The 23,155-nt window shown below is 39.0% G+C and overlaps 1 protein-coding gene and 1 long non-coding RNA gene across 9 annotated transcripts in view; both read left to right on the plus strand.

The window, feature by feature from the left end:
* Positions 1-23,155, plus strand: part of VTI1A (vesicle transport through interaction with t-SNAREs 1A) — a 408,381-nt gene that overhangs the window by 150,973 nt on the left and 234,253 nt on the right. The gene's annotated exons all lie outside the window — the stretch shown is intronic.
* Positions 1-23,155, plus strand: part of LOC124902503 (uncharacterized) — a 44,104-nt gene continuing 20,949 nt past the window's right edge. The window contains exon 1 of the long non-coding RNA XR_007062292.1: positions 1-23,155. This exon is cut by the window's right edge and continues 9,262 nt beyond it. This is a non-coding gene — a long non-coding RNA (uncharacterized LOC124902503).

Below are 23,155 nucleotides of genomic sequence, written 5' to 3' on the forward strand. Positions count from 1 at the left end.
TGCTGGGATTACAGGCATGAGCCACCGCGCCCGGCCAAGAGACCTTGTCTCTTAAGAAACAAAACAGAATGAAACAACCTATGAGGGATACCTGGTGTCATAGAAAGTACTGAGCATGAGGCCTGGTGCATAGTAAATGCTCAAAAAAAATAAAAGCAGTTTTATCTAGCTTCGTTCTTCAGAGTAACATGAGACTAGCACTTGAAGATCCAAGACCATTCTGAGTCAGTTTTCTTGCAGTAAACTCTTGGGCACCTTGATTTTTGGCTGTCTTCAGCTTAACCCCTTTCACTTGTAAGTCTCTAATTATCTAAAGCGTATGGTTGTGTTTTCACTTATGCAGGTAGTTTATGTACCATTTATTGAAAGACCTCTTCCTTTCCTTCTGAACCATTGTTTTCCTTCTGTTCAGTCTCCAAATGTACCTTTCTCTCCTCTTTAGCCTTTGACTGACATTTCTGTGAAGCATTTTGTGATGTGCATTTAGAACACTACGTAAAAATAAACTGCATTGTGTTATTTAAATATTTAGAGGCCTTTGTAGCCTTGCAGGCTATTTTTAAAATGACCTTTAAAACCATTTGCAAAGAAGACAAAAGTAATGGGGGGAAAGCATAACCTTTTAATGTTTCCTTCATTAGTGGCGTTCCCTACCTTGGATGCATTGCCTTGCTTTGATAGTTCATAATGTAGGATACATCAAAGACCCAAATAATGGAGAACAATGGGGACCAATTTTTTTAAAGCTGATTTTGCATTATTGCTGCTGCCATTAGGTGTCAGATGGAAAAGATCCCTTTCTTTTAAATAAGCTGGACTCATGATTGATTTTCTACGTGTGGTAGACCCCCTTGGTAATGCTGGTGTGTAAAGAAAGACCTGCTATGCATTCATATGTGAATTGGGCTTATCCGGTTTCCTACGACTTTGCTTTTGTACAGCAAGTTTATTTTTGAGAGGAGAGAGTCAATCTGCGTTATATCTGACTCAATAATAACAAGAAACCAAGTTGCAGTAAGAGTCTGCTCTATTCCTTCCTTCATTCAGTCAATCCTCCGTTCACCATTTCTCCAAAACATACCAGTCCGTCTTTGACTGTATTTTGAGGGTCTGGACCCAGAACAGGAAGAGTCAACCTTCCAGAAACTTCTCTGATAAAGAAAAATGAGAGACAGAGGTCCAGGGCCACTGTGGAAAGCCAATGTTTGAAACCCTCAAAAGGCCCGAAACAAGAAGCAGCTTGCAGAGTAGGATTGGGGGATCTGCAAGGCCAGAGTGAGGTAGGAAGCAACCCACAAGGAGGGCCATGATTGCATTAAGAGCATAGTAGGCAAGAAAACACAGGCAGCCAGGATGTGGTGTTGGGTAGATATGGTGCAGGCCAATTGGACAGACCTGCTTTTATTGATTTTAAAATGGAACCAGGGCTTAAGGAAGATACTGCCCTCTTGGATCTTCGAGCATAGCTAGGGCGTATGCATGTGAGAAGTTAAATATTAGGACAAAACAGTCCATGGTGGATGCCAAACGACTGGACCGCCAATAAGCGCTGAAGGAGAAGGCCTTCATGGAAAGCCTTCAATGCCAGAGACTTTCTTTCCTTGCTTGATTTGCTTTGCTTTTTTTCTTTCTTTTTTTTAAACAGAGTCTCACCTGTCTTCCAGGCAGGAGTGCAGTGGCATGATCATGGCTCACTGCAACCTCAAACTCCTAGGTTCAAGTGATCCTCCTGCCTCAAATTTCTGAGTAGCCAGGACTACAGGCACATACCATTCCGTCCAGCTAATTTTTAAATTTTTTGTCAAGACAGGGTCTCAGTATGTTGCCCAGGTTGGTTTCAAACCCCTGGGCTCAAGGATGATCTTGCCTCGGCTTCCCAAAGTGCTGGGACTACAGGCGTGAGCCACAGTGCCCAGCCCACTGGAGACTTTCTATGCTCAAAACGAATAATAACGTTCCAACTCCGGGCAACTCAGTAAATTTTTTTTAATAAATTATGCTATGTGTTCATTAGGTTATAGATAGATACTTATTATTCTCATTTTACAGAATTGGAAACTAAGGTTTGGAGAAATTCAGAACCATATCTGCAGGCTCACAGCTGGTGTGTGATGAAGCAAGTTTTAAATCCAGGGCTATCTGACCCTAGTTATTTACCACCACATCACAAAACAATCTGAAAAACGGAATGTTTGAAAACCATGTGTGGTACATAGAATAATGCACCCCTCCCTCAAAGATGTGTGACCACAACCTAATTCCTCTCCCATCTTCCAGAGTGCCCCTACTATAGTCATTTTTATCCTTATTAGCAGCCAATGTGATGCTTTGAAAACATAACTCAGATCAAGGATCTTCTGATCAAAACTGTCCAATGACTTCCCATCATATTTAGCATAAAATCTCGTCTTTAACGTGGTCCACAAGGCCTTTCATTATCTGACCACTTATCCTCCAACCGTAATTTCTACCACTCTTCTTTACTTGCTCCTCTAAAATACCCAGCACACCCTTGCCCCAGGGTCTGTGTACTTGCTGTTTTCTTCTCCCAGATACGCACATGGCTCACTGGCTTCGTTCATGTGTGGCCTCTGCAGAAAGCGCTTTCCTGACCACCAGTCTAAAATAGCATCTTTCATTTTCACCTTACCCTTCACTTATCACTAACTGACCTTATAGTCTATATTTATGGGTTTATTGTCTTTTCTTCCCACGAGAATGAAAAGTCCGTGATGTCTGGTCTGTTTTGTCTCTGCTGTGTCTCTAGCTCCTAAAACAGTGACTGACAAAAGGTGAATGTTCAAAAAATCACGAATGAATGAATTTTTACAAATGTTTAATGTTTGATGTGAATTACATTAAGACAGTTAGTTGCAGACATTCATTTAAAGCATGGATATGCATTTGCAATATTCCATCTGCTATGGGCACTTCCTAGTGCTAAGGCTTTAAAATATGCAAATATGAAGAAAGTGCAATCCCTTGCTTGCCCTCAAGGCATTTACAATCTAGTAAAGAAGACAAATTTCAATCGGTGTTGGACTGACAGGTGTAAGTTGTAGTAGACTCTGACATCTGTAATCATGTTGCAAGGATAGTTTTATGGGGATTCAGAGAAGGGAGCACTGTATCCAGTTGCTAGCATTAGGGAAACCTTCATTGTGGGGAGTGGGAGAGGTCATCTTTGGCCGCATTTTGGACAATGTGTAGCATTTTGATATGTGGGACTTAAGGGAAAAGCATTCTGGGTGAAAGGAACTGCTTAAACAAAGGTACAGAGGCAGAAAAGTCCAAGATGCTTTTCTAAAGAAAGATATTGACCACAGAGAAACCAGAGTCAATATTACCCCAATGACAGTAAATATTGAAGTTCAATAAAAACTGGTTGGCATATCTGCTATGCCTAAACAATTTTGCTAATATTAAGAAGGTTCTCGGCTAAAATTCTGACTCATCAATTATTTACTTTTTTTTTTTTTAATTTAAATGACTATTTCTATGGGGAATCTTTTGTAAATGTGTCTGGTCTAATTAATTTGGTGCCAACCAGGCACCAATGCCTTGTCGACTCTCTTTATTTACTGTGGTATGCAGTCACTTTTCTTAGTTGTTCCGTGCCTCATCCTAGGAAGTAGGTTTGTCCTGTTTGCTTTCATAAGCATGACTGGCCAGTAAAACCCTTGACCTTTAAATTAATGGGTAATACGAATTCATCTCATTCCATCATGAAACAAAGATTCTCTGTATCAGATATTACTATTTATTAGTAAGACAAGGGGATGGGGGATGCCATGTGCTCTGAGGTATCACTATTAGTTAATGAGAATGGTCCACATTTTATCCTTCTTAGGAGTAATTTTTCTGAAGGGCATTGGGAAATTAAATAAACACATCTGAAATTGGATTTAGATTTTGATAGAGCAGAATGATTACAACTAGGGTCCCTTAGTAGCCTGGGGTTATTCAAATACAGATAAAGACAATACATTTCCATAAATTCTGAAGAAAACATGTGGCTGGAGTATGAGCCATATTTTTCTGAGTGCTGGGGTTGATGGCCATTAAAAATGAGAAGAACTGAAACATGCAGGCATTAGTTCCTCACATGACAGTTGCTCTAAATCACCATTTATAGAATGCACTTTTTAATGTGAGCATTTCTAAAGTTAACATGAGCAATAGAAATGTCAAAAGTGAAAATTAAATCATTAATTCTAACATATTCCTTTCCTAATTAAGAATAATTACAGCAGGGGCTAGATTTTATTCACCCTTTGACCTCAACCTTGCTTGCTCAGTGCCTGGGACTTACTGTTTATTGAGCGAATGAAAAAATTTTTTTTATCAAATCTTTTGCTTAGGCAGGTCCACAAATGGCAGGGGGCATACCCGGGATATTGCTGAAAATGAGCAATTGATATGCAAGAGTTAGACAAAATTCAGCTGAAGCAGTCCAGGGCTTAAATAATACTAGCTCAGAAAATTAAGATAGAGACTTATCAAAGCTTTCTTTCAGACTGATCCTTAAATGTTTTGAAATGTTTATCTAAACCTCTTAAACTCTAAAATAGTTTTGATGCCTTTTGATAGCAAATTCTGAAATGCCTCAATTAATGTGAAGCCACAATTGATTATGTTTTTAATATACAAATATTGGTGCTAATGGATTTATAAGACATTGTGATGGACTTAGAATTGTAAGTCTTTACTATCAGGCAGCCTTTAGGAAGCAGCTACTAACATGTTTATAAAGGATGCATACACTGGGAAATTGTGGTCAAAATGTCAAACAGTAAAACAGCAGAGTTCAAGCTGGTTCACATCAATATTTATTTTAATTTTGTAAACACTTATTTGGGTGATTTTTTTTATGAAAGCCTAAGCTTTAGAGAAACACCTTTATAGATCAATTTTTTAAAAGCATTTGGTCACATAGAACTACTTGAAACTATTGTCCAAATAGCCTGCTAAAGCAGATGTGCTGCTTAATTTTTTTTAAACCCAGTGCATGATTGAAACATTTTCTGTGTCACCTAGTTATCTGTGGTCAGAAGTGTTTGTTGTTAATAATACTTTATTTTGAATTCATAAATGATTTGTGGAGATTCATGGAGTGGGTTCTTTTCAGGCTTCTAGTAATTCATTGTATCGTTTGCCTAAATTGTATTACCATGCTGGCTGTATAACTGAGCCATATCGGGGGAACTGACTTGTTGAAGCTGGTTTGGGCCATGTGGCATTGAAATTGCAAGCATGAGTATAACAAGCTAAACCCAAATGAAGTTGGACATTGCTAACTGGGAGCTTGTTGACAATGTGTTGAGATAAGAGCCTGTTCCCTTCAAGAAAGACTTGTCCCATAGAAGTCTTTTGATCCTGAGGGTGTGGGGCTGCCCTTGACCATTGATATATAGCAGAGGTAGGAAGGGTTTTGTTTAGTTTTTCAATAACATTCATTGCCTTTTTTTTCCTGAGTAGAAAAGTCATTATTTAATTTAATTTTGTTTTATGTTTTGTTTGTTTGGTTTTTAACCATTTCAGTAGTAATAGTAATAGTGATTTCCTTAGTTGTCATGATTTTTCCCAGTAGGTTTTTTTCCCTCATAGGAACTAAATACTGTTTTACTTCAAACTGAGTGCTTCACACTTTGGATCTCAAAATATATCCTAGGAATTTCCAAAATTTCTTCCCCTTGTATGGTATGCTCACAGATTTCTTAGATAGTCAAAAGGGGCATTACATCCCAAGACCAGCTCAATGAATGACAAGAAAGAATAGCTTTCCATCATCCACCTTAGCAACCCACTCCCTCCCAATGCCTTCCCCATCCCCCACCCCACCCAAGCGTACAAGGCCTGGCTGTGTGCCTGGTTACCTGTAAAGGAGAAGAGCAGTTACTCTTGGTAGATGACAACACCCAGTAACAATAACAAAACCTTCATGAGCTCATCCCCCTTAGAAAGCAATTTAGTTAAGCCCACCTGGCTCACTGTTTCCCCCTGAGCATTTTCCTGTGTCCAGTGTGCTGTCTTTTAGGATGTGAGGCTGTCAGTGCCAGATTCACATGCTTAAGAAATAAACTCATTTTTTTTCTTTTGGTTTGAGGGTTAACACAGGGTGGGGATACGAGTGACCCAGTAGACAGTGGAGACCGAGCCCTATGATCTGTTTTGTTAATTTTGCATAGTGGGTGCTCTGGAGCCACACTGCCTGGTTTTACATTTCAGCTGCCTCCATCAACTAGCTGTGTTAGTTTGGGTATGTTATCCAACCTCTTTATGCTCCATTTTCCTGACTTACAAAATGGGGCTTGTAACAACTTCATGGGTTATTAGGAAGATACATGTAAACAGTTAAAGTTCATACGTGTAAAGAGTTACAACACCTAACACAAAGTCAGTGCACAATCAATTATGATTATGTCCTTGTTTCTCTATCCTATTCTTCTCTTTCTTCCCCCTCTCTAACTCGCTCTCCACCTTTCTCTCCATTTTTGCTTTCTCTTGTTTCTATAAAGAATCTAAGATACACTAGGATTAAAATAAGTATATGAGAAAATCAGTGTTCTTTGGGGCTTTCATATAACTTGAAACTCTTATACACTCATAAACTGCTAATGATTTTGCTTCCACACAACCAGATGTATCTCTGGTTCTACACATCACCTCTTTCTCATGGAACTGTTTGGGCATATTCCTGTATACGAGTCTATTACTAGAAAACAAAGGAATAAATGAGGAGAAAATACTATGTGTAAGTTAAAAGCCAGAAGAGATATAAAACATTACATTTCTGATTCTTCATGTTTATTTTATGATCTGGTGACCTTGTCTAATTAAAGGCACATTTCTTGGTGTACAGCGGTGATCACTGAGTACAGTTTTACTCACTTAGGTAAATGAAGTATTACTCTCATTTAGAATAGGGTAATCAAATGTGTCATAGTGAACATTGTGTTTAAATATATAATTCTGTACATCTATCTCTGGATATTCTACCTCTCTTATATAGGCCTCTTTTGAAAATTTGTGCAGGAAAAATTAAAAAGTCAACATAGAATTCCTTTCGGTATACATTATAACCTTTTTCCCCACAGAGAGGTTATTTTTAGTTTCTGTTATGTCCCTGACCCTGACAACGTAGCCAAACCAGACTTTCCATCCTGATCTTCCCCCACACTCGGCTCAATCTCCACAGGTTTTGCCCCTTCCAGGCGACCTTGTCCAGGAGTGTGACAAACCCAGGCCTGGCTCCTGGGGCAGAAAGAGGAAGAACGATATGTGTAGTGTCCCCTTGCCTTCCTTTCACCCCTGACGTATTTATCTGGGGAAGTTGAACCACACTGTACTGTAAGAACAGTGTTGAGAGGGAAAGAAATTTACAGAAGAACCAACAAGTCACCTAAGAGGTAGAGGAAGAAAGGAAAATTGGTTCCTTCTACTTTTCCAGGGAGGGAGTAAATAAAAGGACAGGCTCATAGCTTTACTGTTTCTCCACTACAACCTTAGCTGCTTCTGAGCGTGTGCTGCTTTCAATTCCATGGATTCGCCTAACTCCAGAGACAGCTCTGTGCACACTGGAGGATCACCGCTCCCTCTCTCCACACCAGGAGTCTGTAACTCAGATATCTGGAGACAAGCAAGAAATGCCTTGTGTAAGACAGATGGAGTGAAAGACAGTAGGCATTTTCCTTGCAACTAAGGCCACTATCTACCTACCCACATCCAGCCGCCTGTGCTTGCAGCTCCATGTCATTCTTACCTCCACAATTATGATGGCTTAGAAGGGCCTTACAGGGAAAGGATGTGAGTAAAATAGGCCAGAGGTGGAACACAGGGGTATGGGAATTGGCACACACCCTGTCCCTAGAAAGGACAGCTGTGGTGGAGAGTGCATCTTAAGTTATTGGACCATCCAACTTTTCACACAAAGCTAGAAAATAGTATGTTCTCTTTAAAGTATCCAATTTTTAAAGCACTGTGTGAGTCAAACAAAACTCTTCAAACAAAACAAGACCACATGTAGTCTTTAGGCCATTGTGTGCTAGTTTTCTTTTTTTCTTTTTTTCTTTTTTTTTTTTGAGACAGAGTTTTGCTTTTGTTGCCCAGGCTGGAGTGCAATGGCGTGATCTCGGCTCACCACAACCTCCTCCTCCTGGGTTCAAGCAATTCTCCTGCCTCAGCCTTCCCGAGTAGCTGGGATTACAGGTGCACGCCACCACCCCTGGCTAATTTTGTATTTTTAGTAGAGATGGGGTTTCTCCATGTTGGTCAGGCTGGCCTCGAACTCCTGACCTCAGGTGATCCACCGACTTCGGCCTCCCAAAGTGCTGGGATTACAGACGTGAGCCACCGCGCCCGGCCATTGCGTGCTATTCTGATATAACTCTTACCAGCTTGAGCATCAAGTCTTCATGCCCTCACCACCCGTGGTGTGCTGCTCCTCCCCCGAATTCCATAACCAGCATCCTTTACCACTCATTTGTCACTTACTGGTGCTTTTCCTCATTATTTCCAGGAAGTGGGGCAAGTCACCATAAGACAGTTATGAGCTGTGTGAGGACAAGAACTAATGTCTGCATTTCCCCATCACAACTTTCTCATTGCCTTGTGCACAGCTGGGCCCAAGTAAATACCTATAGATTTGTTGTTCTTTTTTTCAGTTACTCCTAGTACTTTCTTCATATTACATGTCTAGGACCATAGCTCAGCTGCCCACTAGTTAATGACACTTGAACAGACACTTACATTTGTTTTATTAGTGACTGATGGCTAAGATGAGAATGGGAAAAGAACTAGAGGGAAGACTCACTTTTCTGTTTCCTTGTTAAATTTTGTCCTTTATGCTATTAAAATGAAATACTAGTTTTCACAATCAAATTAGCTTCCTATTTTTAAAGAACCTAGTCCTAGTGGCAACAGCTACCACGTAGTATTAAACACCAACTTTATGTCAAGTGCTTTACATATGTTATTTCTCATCCTCGCAGCAACCCAAGAGGTAAGTGTTATTATTCACATTTTAAAGATAAGAGAGCTAAGTTGGCTGGGCATGATGGCTCATTCCTGTAATCCAGGCACTTTGGGAGGCTGACGTGGGTGGATGACCTGAGGTCAGGAGTTCGAGACCAGCCTGGCCAACATGGTGAAACCCTGTCTCTACTAAAAATACAAAAATTAGCTGGGCATGGTGGTGGGCACCTGTAATCCCAACTACTTGGGAGGCTGAGGCAGGAGAATCACTTGAACCCGGGAGGCAGAGGTTGCAGTGAGCCAAGATCACACCACTGCACTCCAACCTGGGTGATAGAGCAAGACTCCATCTCAAAAAAAAAAAAAAGAAAGCTAAGTCACAGAGAGATTGAGTGGCTGTCCAAGACCATATAGGCAGGAGGTGAGCCAAGATAGCAGAGCAGTTATACTTCCCCTGTTACAGCACTTAAGACATCATTGTAATTGTTCACTGCACTGTACCCACTCTACACCAACAACTCCAGGAGCAGAGACTGACTTTGTCTTATTCATCACAGTATCCTCAGTGCCTAGCACAGTGCCTGGCCTAAAATGGGAAGGTAGGAAAGATTTTCTGAATGGAAAAGTATCCTACTGCCCCACTTCTATTACTTGTCCTTTGTTATGAAAGAAATTACTCCAAAACTGAGATAATAAGCATTCATTTTGACACTGTGTCTTTGGGTCATGGATTCTTGAGTGGCATAGCCAGATGGTTCTGACTCGGTCTCTCGGACTCATGAGGTTATAATTAACTGTAGGCTGGGGCTGTAGTCATCAGCACACTTGACTGGGGCTGGAAAATCTGTTTTTAAGCTCACTCAAATTGCTGCTGTCTGGAAGCCTTGTGCTTTTATTCCATCCCTTGGGCTTCTTCATAGGCAAGTATCCACATGGGCCTCTCCATAAGTGAGTGTTCTCACAACATGGCAGCTGACGTCTCTAAGAGAGAGTGTAGGTGAGAATAGCCAAGACAAAAGCCTTAGCATCTTTTATAACCTAACCTTGGAATTGACACCTCATCACTTCCGCAGTATTCTTTTGATCACATAGACCAACCCTGATACAACGTGGGAGGGACTACATAAGGGTGTCTGCTCCCAAAAGGTATTGGGGGCCATCTTGGGGCTGGCTACCACAGAACTCTACTGTAAACCCTTTCTGTGACACAGACACTCACGTTACAGCTTCCTCCTTTGAAAAATTTTACTTTAAGCCTTTTAGAATTTCTTAAAGAAGATACCCTTCCAGTAGAATTAGACAAGACTTCCACATCATTTACAGTGCTGTTACATACATGCATGCATACATACATATGCATATATATATAGAAAACCAGCTATTTAAAACAGTGTATGCCTGATGTGATAAATAAAGTGCGATTTGTTTAAAAAGAACATTTATGGGGTTTTTGAGGAAGCTGTATAAATAATTTGCCAAGGAAAAATGATACACAAAGCCTATGGGCCACTTGGACTATAGTTTTTAAAGTTTGTAGGTGTTAGTTCTTTTCTATATTTAAGTCATTGAAATGACCACTTAAACCACATGTAGACATGTGGGCAAATATATCTAATCACTGGTATAATTATTTATTTCATGAAGGGGAAATAGGCCTTTTATATGATGACCTTACAATAAGGGTCATTTTTATATTCGGAAAGATAAGCACCTGTCATTTTCTTGTTATTCTGAGGTCAGAGCCTACCACAGAGATTTTAATATTTGAAAACAATTCTATTCACTGGAATTTCAGCAGTTAAAATAATGATTTTCTTAAGATGCAGCATTCTGATGCACTATGTCTGACCTTTCTTGGTCAGGAAAATAACATCTTCAACATCTCTTGTTTCTTATTCTACTCTTTCCATATTGCTTGAAACTGATGTTAAATGATCAGGATGCTTTTTCACTTCTTTAGTATCTTAATTAGCATGTGTCTGTTCCTGTAGCTATCATGAGATGTAGCAGCTTTTGCAGTGACAATATCTTCAGTCAAATATTTGTACTTTAAAAATATTTTAACAAAATGTATACTAGTAAAAATGAAGTTGGAAATCGAAATCTATAGAAATAATTATCATTGGAAAATGGTTTTTTGGTGGGATATATGGTTATGATAAAGATTTGGTGAATCTTATTTTATTTCTATATCAGTACGTTTTAAGAAGTTCCTCTTATACTGTGCTGCTTAATCCTACCAAAAAGCTGGGCATATGCTTTGGGAAAGGATTAAGTGATGAGGTGTATTTTTGCTCTTTGAAGGAGAATTCATTAAAATAAGAACTCATTCTAAGAAAAGGAAGCAAGTAATATTGAACAAACATTTAACATGGTTAAATTAATGAAGGTAGTCTTAGCTTTGGAACAAGATCATTAAAAATATGAAAAACTTCTTTTGGGTAGTTAAAAATCACTTTAAAAGTAATTACATTTGTAGTAATGATGAAGAGGATGGGGGAATAATTTGAGTGTAAACTCTGTGACGACAGGGATCAGATCTTGTTAATTTTCAAAGTCCTCTTCCTGAATCTAATACTTTTGAGTATAGTAGAAGACAATAAATGTTGAATGGATACATGAATGGTATGGTAGATTTTTATAATGTAATTATATGACCTTATTTCTGCATAGAAGCCATGTTTCTTGTTTTAGAAACATTCTATTTTTTAAAGTCTTTCTTCTGAATACTTTGTCATCATAAAATTATTTTAAGCATTTATCCAGTATGCATCCCTCCCTGACATATTATTACGCCCTCAATTTTAAAAAAATGAAATCACATTGGTGAATTAAATGTTCTGGGTTTTGTTTGCCAGATTCAGTGGTGCCTCATGGAGCAGCGGTCCCAAATCCATGTGGAAAGGGGTTTGCTGCTGAAGTCTCCATGGCCCTTAGGCAAATGGCTCCGTCCAGAATGGTACTCTGAATCTCACTTTTAAAAGGATAGGGAAGTTTTAGTCTTATTATCACAAAATAATGGCAGTTTATTCCTAGGCATTTTCAAAGACTGCACCCTGGCTTTCAAGTACAATATTTGCAGAAAAAAAAATGTGGTAAACACATAGGAAAAGAGAAACAGTGTGGTAAACAAAACACACAGGAAAAGAAAAAAAAATGAGGCGCATTTAACTGGCCTTATTCCAGTTAAAATCATCTTCAGTGTTCAGGGGGAATCATAAAAATTATATACTTTTCCAGTCTTTTTTTTTTTTTCCTCAAGTTTTTTCAAGATGATCCATTTAGGACCACACTGTGGCAAAGCCTGTGGAAAACATGGGTGGCCCCAGGAGTGTCTGTAAGAGCTTCAAAGAAGCCAATGATGAGCTGTTGTTGCCCTAGGTAAAAGCCCCCAAAATCAATAATCTCTTGAGCCTTGTAATCTCATTTTCCTTTCAGAGGCATTTCCCAAACCAAAACACCAAGCAAAATGTGGCATAAAGTCAAAGAATCTTTGATTTGGAAAGGATCTTTGAAATCATCCAGTCCAATTTTTATCTCCTACTCAAATTTCTTTTAGACAGTTGACTCTAATATTATGACCTAATGAATAAAATAATTTTGCCAAAAGAAAAAATAAATCTGTGTACATTTCTTTTGTTTTGCTTTGATAGCTTATTACTCAGAACTTAGGACAAAATACCTATTTAAGAATTACATTCGGCCGGGCGCGGTGGCTCATGCCTGTAATCCCAGCACTTTGGGAGGCCGAGGCGGGCGGATCACGAGGTCAGGAGATTGAGACCATCCTGGCTAACATGGTGAAACCCCGTCTCTACTAAAAATACACAAAAAAACTAGCCAGGCGCGGTGGCGGGCGCCTGTAGTCCCAGCAACTCGGGAAGCTGAGGCAGGAGAATGACGTGAACCCGGGAGGCGGAGCTTGCAGTGAGCTGAGATCGCGCCACTGCGCTCCAGCCTGGGCGACAGAGCGAGACTCCATCTCAAAAAAAAAAAAAAAGTATTACATTCCCTCTGAACTTTAGGATGGATCTAGACTGTGTGGACTGTCCAACACGTGAAATGAAAATGTCTATCAGTTGTTGTCAGGCAGATTTTTGCTACTTTCTTAATACCAAATTTTCTTATGTTCACTGTAAAGAAACTTAGAGCTACTTTTAATCTCAGCCATTTGTAATGAGAGCTGTCCCAGCATGGTGACATTGACAAATCCTAATAATCTTTAGAAGAAACGACAATAGAGTAATGTTACTTGCTGTGGCCAAAGTCCAGCGGTTCTAGGGATGACTTGTGAATAAGATTTCTTGTCTCATTGGACCTAGGTAGAACAGAATAAAATGTATTATCTGTTGAGCTTGATTCTCTACTCTTTTTATTGCCATTGTTTTTCATTGTTTTCATCATCATGCTATGTAGCAAGTAACTTGGAAGGACTTTTGGAAGGATTAGAAGTTCTGATTGATTGTCCATGCTTCCAATACGGCAGTTCCTTAAAAGCTCCCTGGTAATTTGGCAACATATTATTCTGATCACTTGTGTAAAATGTACTTGTGTATGATGACCTTTCTCAAACTACATGGTAAAATGAGGGTGAGGTTCAGTGGGAAGCTTGTTGAGTTCCTTAGAGGTCATCAAGATTATGCCATAGAAAATAATTAATTTTTAATGTCAGCACCTAAATTGATGTTTTTCGCATATAAAAACCAAATCTAGAAAGAAAAGAAGAAGAAAAAGTGAGTTTTGCTAATTGCAAAATCTGACAAAATAGTCACCTTTGGTAAAGCCCATTTGGTGAGAAAGGTAATTTTTTTTTTTTTTTTTTTTTTGTGACGGAGTCTCGCTCTGTCGCCCAGGCTGGAGTCCAGTAGCGCTATCTCAGCTCACTGCAAGCTCCATCTCCTGGGTTCACGTCATTGTCCTACCTCAGCCTCCTGAGTAGCTGGGACTACAGGCGCCTGCCACCATGCCCAGCTAATGTTTTGTATTTTTAGTAGAGACAGGGTTTCACCATGTTAGCCAGGATGGTCTTGATCTCCTGACCTCGTGGTCCGCCCGCCTCGGCCTCCGAAAGTGCTGGGATTACAGGCGTGAACCACCGTGCCCAGCCTTGAGAAAGGTAATTATTAGAGTTATTTTTTCTTGGATACAAACCTATGGATTCTCAAATTCTTTTAAAAATAAAAAAGCCATTTTATCGTAAGTTTGAAAACTGAGGTATCAGGATTTTCATGTGACTAAAAAAGTGTCTACTCTCATTTTCTATTATCAATCGGGTACCCAATCTGGTCAGATAGTGATTTGTCCTAGAGAGGTCTAGAAAGGAAAACACGGTTTTAATTAAGATTGGTAGAAACTAGAACAATAGTTTTCAGTCTAAATTAAATTTTGGTCGTCATACATACATTTGGATAACCTAGAGTGATTTCTTTCTTGCTTCCTACTAGTCATACTATAATAAAAAGACAAGCACCTTTTTGTTTTGTTTTGTTTTTGTTTTAAGAGACAGGGTCTTGCTCACTCTGTCACCCCGGCTGGAGTGCAATAGCACGATCATAACTCACTGTAACTTTAAACTCCTGGGCTCAAGTGATGATCCTCCCACCTCAGCCTCCTGATTAGCTGGAACTACAGGTACATGCTGCCACATCCAGCCAATTTTTTGAATTTTTTGTAGAGATAGGAGTCTCATTGTGTTGCCCAGGTTGGTCTAGAACTCCCAGCCTGAAGTGATCCTCCTGCCTCAGCCTCCCAAAGCACTGGGATTATAGGCATGAGCCACCATGCCCAACCCACAAGTACCTTTTCAAAGAAGGCTTTGTAGATAATAACCTATAAAATATAAATTTCTTGTGATTTTTTGCATACCCAAAACATGTAAATAAAAGTTATAATGAAGCATTTTCCTATCTTGACAATAGAGAAAAATAAAACAGATAATAGATATCTACGCCTGCCTGTTTGGACACCTAGTCACTTCTCAATGTTTGCCATTTATTTTGCATATAACCTGAATATTTTACAAATGTGGCTGTGAGGTAGGAAACAGACCATTTTCTTCTTTCTGGTTTATAGATAATGGCTGTTTTTTTAAAAATGATACTAATTTTCTCAATGTTAATACTTATTCAACAGAGTGAATAAATATTACTCTTTCTAATAAAGCATATATTCAGTACACATTTCCAGTCATTTTGGAAGACTTTGCCGAATGGGGAGATGAAGAGGACGTTTTAATAACGGGATATACTATTTTATACCATTCAATATACTATTTAATAATAGTCTTTTAGTTGCTGAAAAAAAAGTTGGTCTTTTTAAAAAGTTACAATTGTGCATCTTTCGTGAAGGTTAACATTTTTCTTTTGCTGCGTTTGTCTTTTCACACTTTGGCTCCTAGAATTTTTATCCTATTGGAAGAATATGTAAAGAATATGTTTCGTTTCCCCCCACTTCTTATGTTGGTATGGCTATCTTTACAAAATTATTTATACAAAGATGTCTAAAAACACTGAGGTACTTCCTATGCTGTATTTCTTATGCCTTTCACCTTCTCCCCTCTCTGTAGAGCTCATTCTCTCTCGGCCTCTTTTTTTCTCTTCTCCTTCTGCCTTTTGCTCTTTTTGTATCCCCTCTTTTGCAGACTCTTCACTGCCTAACTTTAAATTGATTAGAATGCATTAATTTTTAAATAAGTGTCACATATCCTTAACTGAGCACTAAAAGGTTGAGAAGGCTTCATGGTGTAGAGTCTGATCCAAAACTAAGTGAGAAGAATTTTAAAAACAAGGGCTGCCCTTCATTAGCCCTCATGCTATCTCCTGACAGGCTCAGTGCACTTCGTTGCCATGCCAGGCCAGGGCAAGCCCTGCTGCCGTGCACCATTTACCCTCTGTCAGCAGCTTCAGTCGGAGCTTGGGCGATACTGTACATGCGAGTCTGTCATGCGTCAGCCTCAATTAAGCTCATATTGCTGTGCTTGGGAAACACATCAGCCTCCTGTTAACCATTTTTTTGTTCTTGCTGTTCCTTTTTTTTCGTCCATTTTTCCCATTCAGCAGTCTCTAGAAATCCATGTTTCATATGGTGAAAATATGTTCATATTTTTTTCAATTTTTTACAAAGAGAAGTGGGTTTTAGAGGAAGTAATGCACATAGGTTCCAGTAAGTTGATTGTACTCATGGAAATGTGCTCAGTTAACCCCTGAGTTCGTTAGTTAAAGAAGGGAATTACAGGTAACCCTCATTTGTACCTGTGCCATGCGTGGTCTTGAGTCTTAAGAAGCAATTTTTCTTTAGGCCTTGTGAGGGTACAAGAGCATCAGGCATCTGGCATTATCAAATGTTGAAGTACTTCTTCACAACGTGTTGTTTACTCATGCCCTTGTCACCTAAGGTGGCGCTTTTATTTTTTTAAGAATAGAATGAGACCTTACTACACTTGAGGGGGAGAAAGTGTAGACAGCAGCGGTTAATATTTGGTTCACTCTTTTGTGGCTTACCATAAGTTTATGGGAAAAAGAAAGAGACCGCCCATGGCTTCATCATGCCTGGTGGTTGGCTCACCAACTTAGTCTCTTATAAGAAATTATCTTTAAAAGGGGATTCTCCAAAAAAATAAAAGAAGAAGCTTTGAAGGGGGTTTGTTTTCTGTACCTAGATAACTATACATTATCCAAGAGAGCTCCTGTATATTTTAATGGACAGGTAGACACTGAGACAGTTGGGCATCTTGAAGGACTTGTGGAGATTTTATGGGCCTGGTCAGTTGTGAAGTCAGGTTAGATTTTATGGGCCTGGTGAGTTTGTGAAATCAGGTTAATCCAAGAGGCTATTGTCAGATACTGGTCACAAGGCACAGTTATGAAAGAAATTACAACACTGAAAATCTTGTGAGATCTGTGACAGCAAGGCTCTCAGCAGAAAGCAAGGTCAGTTTCACAGATGAGAATAGGGACACAAAATGTGCCGTTATTTTTTTTTCTTTTTTCATAAGCACACCACCAGCATAGGAAAGTAGCTTTTAAATAGAATCATATTGATGGATCAATCCAAGGAAAGGGATGGAGTACACAGATAATGGAATTCAGATTTCCCAAATATGTGGCAAATGGATCATTGTTGAAATTATTAGCTGAAAAAAAACCTAAAAATCCATAAGTATCTAACATTTGTATTGGCAATGGGTTAAGGATTTCCAATAAGACTGTGGCAGTCCATGATATTGACTTTCTGGAAGATATATATTAGCATTAAATGTGAAGTTATTGAACATCTTAAAGGAAAAATTATTTGCAAGAATAAACTGTCACAGTAGTTTAGCAAGGGCAAGGTTTTTCTGAGATACTATAGATGGAGAGATTTCCATCTGGAAAACAGATGGCAGCAGAAAAGTGATATAAATTAGTATTTAGGAATAGTTCTTTTACATCTCAGGTCCTGATGGATATTGTCAAGGGAGTCTTCACTTTAACTTTTTCTAGAGAACACATCTCTTTTTGTTTGGATGAGTCACAACAATGAAGTTGTTTATTTAACACATATTTTTGAGGCCCTATTACGTGGCAGACACTTGTTAGGTACAGGTGAGTTGGTGGTGAACAAAATAGACCTCCCTGGCCCTCATGGGCTTTACAGCCTAATAATGGAAATAGACATTAAAATATATAAATTTTAAGCCATATTAATTGGATTGATGGAAAGTCCAAAGGGCTGTTAAAGTGTGTAATAGGGGATCTTGATCTTCGTCTGAGGGAGTCTGGGAAACTTCCCTAAATAAATGACATTTAAAATGTGATCTGAAAGATAAGTAAGAATTAAGTAGGCAAAGGGCATGGGGAAGGGTGGGAGATGGGAATAGCCCACTAAGCAGAAGAAAGAGCCAAAGCAAAGGCCCTAGGACAGGAAGGAGTATGGCACACTGAGACAGTGAGGTGCACAGGGAGTAAGGTAGAGTGTGCTAGGAATGTGCCTAGAGGCAGAGATGAGAGCTAAATCATATTTAGCCTCTTCATGGGCCATATTTGGATTTTGCCTGTATCTGAGGCAGACATTTTCCACCTGCAAAATGAGAGGATTAAGCATCAAAGTTCTCAACCTAGGAGGCTGTTGGAAATTAGTGATCTGATATTACTGGATATTAGATAAAAGTTTAAACATATTATTTAATGCATTGAAGGATTATTAAGAAAATAAGGAAAATCCCCAAAAAGAGAAAGAGAGAAGCAGTGGGTTGAAATGAGAATAGAGAGCAGTGATTTATAAGTGTACAAGAAAGCCCAAGATGTTCAGGGACCAAATTTAACCACCAGCACTGCAATCAGGAATCTAAAATGCAGGAGTACATGCACATTTGCATATATGCCCACATATATATTTGTACACACATGTACATGTGCACACACTCACACACAATGGGATAGCTAAATTCGAAACTCTTCTATTTAGCCAGTACACTTGAAGAGGGTTAAAATAGTCCTAGGTAAATCATGCCTACTGGCTTCCAGAAAAAAATAAACAAATTTTCTTCTGGAGGAAAGCATCCCTAAATTAGGCTCTCTGGATTCCTATACATTCAGTTCAACAAAATATGAGCTTATTAAAAAGATTTACCAAACATACAAAGAAAAAAAAATGACCATAAATGAGAGTCAACTCAAACAGCAAATAACACATTTTTACTTCACAAGGTTTTCAGATTCTGTCATTATCAATGTAGAATAAAAATAAGAATTGTATATAATATATACAGAAAACTAAAGTGGAACTTTTAAATGATCAAGCAATATAAGACTATTAAAATGGCCATAAGGAACCATACAGAACTTTTTGAAATTAAAATCTGGAGGAATGGATTTAAAAGCAGATCTGAGAAAGCTGAAGAGACAATTAGTGAATTGGAAAATATATCTGAAGAAATTTTGCAGAATGCAACAGAGAGAGAAAATAAAATGGAGCACACAAGAGAGGTGTTGAGACATGTAGGATACAAAAAGCATACCAAAAAGACATCAAATTAGACTTCCAGAATGACAAGTTAGAGGAGCAATAATTTGAAAAGATAATATCTGAGAATTTTCCAAGTCTGCCAAAAGACATAAATCCACAGAGACACAACACAGACCAAGCAAAATAAATACAGAGTTTCACATCTAGACACGTTATAGTGAAACTACAGAACACCAAAGCCAATGAGAAATAAAAGCAGTCAGAGATAAAAGACACATCACCTATAAACAGATGGCAAATTAGATTGAAAGTAGGCATCTCAACAAGAATTGAAGCCACAAGACAGTAAATAGTATTCCAAGTTTTAAGGGAAAATAACTGCCACCCTAGAATTGTCTTCTCAACATTGTGTCTTTCAATAACAAGAGCAAGACAACATTTTTAGATAAATAAAAACTAGGAGATTGCCATCTGTAGATTTTTACTAAAGGGGTTTTTTAAAAGAAGTACTTCAGAATGGAGGAAAATGACTCCAGAAGGAAGATAGAAGATATAAAAATGAAAACTGAATGAGAAATTACTAAATCTAAAAAAATTATAAGATTTACATTTAAATTTAGATTAAAAATAATAATAACAATATCTAATTTGGAAGGAGAGTTCATTTTAAATAAAAGAACTAACTCCTTCTGACTATTTTGCTTTGTTATTGGAAGTTAGGAGGTGAGTGATCAGAGTTCAAGTATTCTAAGGGCCTTGTATTTTCAGGACAGGTGTAAAAATATTCATAAACTTTGGACTTTGTTGCATATGCATGGTAAAATTTCAAATATTCTTATTTAAAGAATAAAAATAAGACTAAAAACAAAAAACTTTACAAAAATCACTTGTATTTCTATTTAAAAGCCAAAAAAAGGAAACAAATTAAAGGTGCCATTTACAACTACAAAGTAGAAGATGCCTGGGAATGAATATAATAAAAGATATACAAAGTGGCCGGGCACAGCGGCTCACTCCTGTAATCCCAGCACTTTGGGAGGCCGAGGTGGCTGGATTACCGAGGTCAGCGGTTCGAGACCAGCCTGGCCAACATGCTGAAACCCTGTCTCTACTAAAAATATAAAAATTAGCCCGGTGTGGTGGCACCTGCCTGTAATCCCAGCTACTTGGGAGGCTGAAGCAGGAGAATCACTTGAACCCGGGAGGCGGAGGTTGCAGTGAGCTGAGATGGTGCCATTGTACTCCAGCTTGAGCAACAGAGTGAGACTCCATCTCAAAAAAATAAATAAATAAAATACAAGACTGAACTCTTCTACTTAACAGCTGTGAACTTGAGCCAGTTAATTTCTCTGAGCCTGTTTCTCATCTACAATATGGCAATAATAGTAGTACTTAATAGAATGGTGAAAATGAAATGAGATAAGTAGCATTTAACAGTGTGCCAAGTCCACAGTAAAACTCTCAATAAAAATTAGCCCCTACCTCATCAACATCATCATCATCATCATCCTTAGGTGCAAAGCTAAAAGGCATGAGAGAAGTAACGACCCCAGCATTCCAAGATCTTAGAGCCTGATAGGTTGGGATAATGAAATATACAAATGATTATATTATATATATATATATATATATATATATATATATATAGAGAGAGAGAGAGAGAGAGAGAGTAAATGTCAAAAGGTAATATCAACGGGCTGTTAAGAAGGAGCAATAATGTTTGGCCTAGGGGAAGGAGGAAGGGTTGTCAGAAGAGACTTTGTGAGGTAGATGACTTTTGAGCCTGACCTTAAAATATTGGTATAGTTAGAACATGCATACCATAGATAGGGAGGACATTAGGCCAAAGTGTTGCTATATATACATTTTGGCGTCTGCCTCCATTAGGCAGATATCTAATTATTGAATATTATTAGGACATCCAAGGTGAACAGCAGGGAGATGCAAAAACACAATGGTTGATTAAGGGGTAGTTCAGCTTGACTGGCTAAGAGGAGGTGAGGTTGGAAGGATAGGGTAGAGGAAATACATTGAAATTACAGAAGTGAGTTTTGTTCACACAGCCTATCATGACAATCAACCAATTATTAATTAGCTGTCAGATAACAAGATGATGTCTGGGAGAATCTCCAACAAAAAATAAATACATCTTCTGGAATCGTGCCTGGCACATTAGTAAACACAGTTTTTTTTTTTTTTTAAGGAACTAATATATGTTGTGCAGTGTGTTCAGAAAATTGTCATATTGGTAATGTCATGTTGAAGTAAACTAGCAGGTATTTTTTTTTCCAGCTGACTTCATGATTGAAGGGATAAGTATATGCGTGGTCCGAGCCAATCCATTGCATTTGGAAAACAGTTATTTGGGAGAAACAGTGGAAAGGGGGCTTAATGGGAATAAAAATGTGGAAATAAGACAGACATGATAATGAAGACAGTTCCTCTAACCCAGGTACCTGTAAGCACGTTCATCTGGAGGTCTGGGTAAGCACGTTCACCTGGAGGTCTGGGTGGGGAACACATCCCAGAGATGGAGAAAATGTGGGCCCTTGTGCTCAAGGATCTTACAGTCTCATTTTAGGAGCTAGACTGATACTCCAACAGCTCCTCTTTGAACTATTTGCTGCCTCCACCTGGGAGGCCCCCAAGCGACAGGGCTGGCCTGGGGCTTCTTTAATGTTGTTTCTGCAAAATATGTAGACTATGTTTATTTCTTATTTCCAAACCATACCTAATTTTTGCAGAACTTTCCTCTTTAATGTTTTGCCCAGATGCACACAATCGTCATTCTCCTCGTGACTAGACACAGCTGGGGGAGGAATGTCTGCTAGATGAGACTTTAATTAACTTCCTTCCTTGGAGTGAGGCTTGGGATAAAATGTACATGGATCTTTCTTGCCTTTTTCCTTGACAGTGGAACTGATTTGCTTGCCAACAAGTACATATGTAGTGGGATCAGGAAGGGAGGATGGAAGTTAGAGGTGGAAGGGAAGGAGACACCACCTAGGGGAGGACATAATTGAAAGGGTGTCCAGCATGGAGAACATGGCTGTCCATGTGGTTCGGGAAGGTCTCGACCCCTGGGTTGTATTTTTAACTTTGAAATTGTTCAGCAACAATCTGGTTCTCCCAGGGCTTTTAAAACTCTCCTCTAAAGTATTTCTGGCAACAGTCTGGAAATCCTGGTGACAGGTAAAAGCACACTATGTTTTTAAGCCTGGTAAGTAACTTTGTGTAATATTAACAGTGTGTGTTGTTCCTTTCACTTAATTATTATTGGACTTTAGTAGAATTTGCATCTTATTGTTGGACCGTAAATCTCTTTGGGGTATTATTGTTACTGATCATTGAAGCTATTTGATCCAACAAGCATTTATTCTTTATTTATGTGCAATACATTGTACTAGGCACTGTGGATCTATGAAGAGGAAAGACACACTGCCTGCTCTGGAGGGATGTACACAGTTTAGCGGAAAGAATGGCTCTGGGAAAGGCTTGCTTATGAGTCTGACAGCTACAACAGAGGTGGAAACTACTTATAGGCCTATAAGAGAGGAAGAAACAGATTCAAGTGGGGAGAACTGGTAGGACTTGTGGCGGGGGCCAGTTTTTAACTAGAAATTTTGAACTGGCTGGGCGCGGTGGCTCACGTCTGTAATCCCAAAACTTTGGGAGGCCGAGGCGGGTGGATGACCTGAAGTCAGGAGTTCGAGACCAGCCTGACCAACAAGGTGAAACCCCGTCTCTACTAAAATACAAAAATAAGCTGGGCATGGTGGTGGGCGCCTGTAATCTCAGCTACTTGGGAGGCTGAGGCAGGAGAATCGCTTGAACCCAGGAGGCAGAGGTTGCAGTGAACTGAGATCATGCCATTGCACTCCAGCCTGGGCAATAAGACCGAAACTCCATCTCAAAAAAAAAAAAAGAAAAGAAAAGAAAAAAGAAATTTTGAACCATGGCCAAGAGATAGGAGAATTCAGAGATACTTAGCAAAAGTGAGTGTCCAGAGGCATGAAGTGCCTTAGAATTGGTGTTAGGTGAGCAATGCGGCATTCCAGACCGGGACTATTGGCAGAGCCTTTGATTATAGGCTAGGACTTGATTTTACATAGGGCATTTTGGATTTTCTCTGTTCTATAGATGGAGAATTCCATCCATATGAAATCTGTTGAAAAATTGCCTGTTCTTTTCCATCTTCTTGTTTTGGTAGTTTTCAATAATTGCCATCTGTTCCAAT

This window comes from Homo sapiens, chromosome 10 (genome assembly GCF_000001405.40).
Source record: "Homo sapiens chromosome 10, GRCh38.p14 Primary Assembly".
NCBI classification, from domain to species: domain Eukaryota; kingdom Metazoa; phylum Chordata; class Mammalia; order Primates; family Hominidae; genus Homo; species Homo sapiens.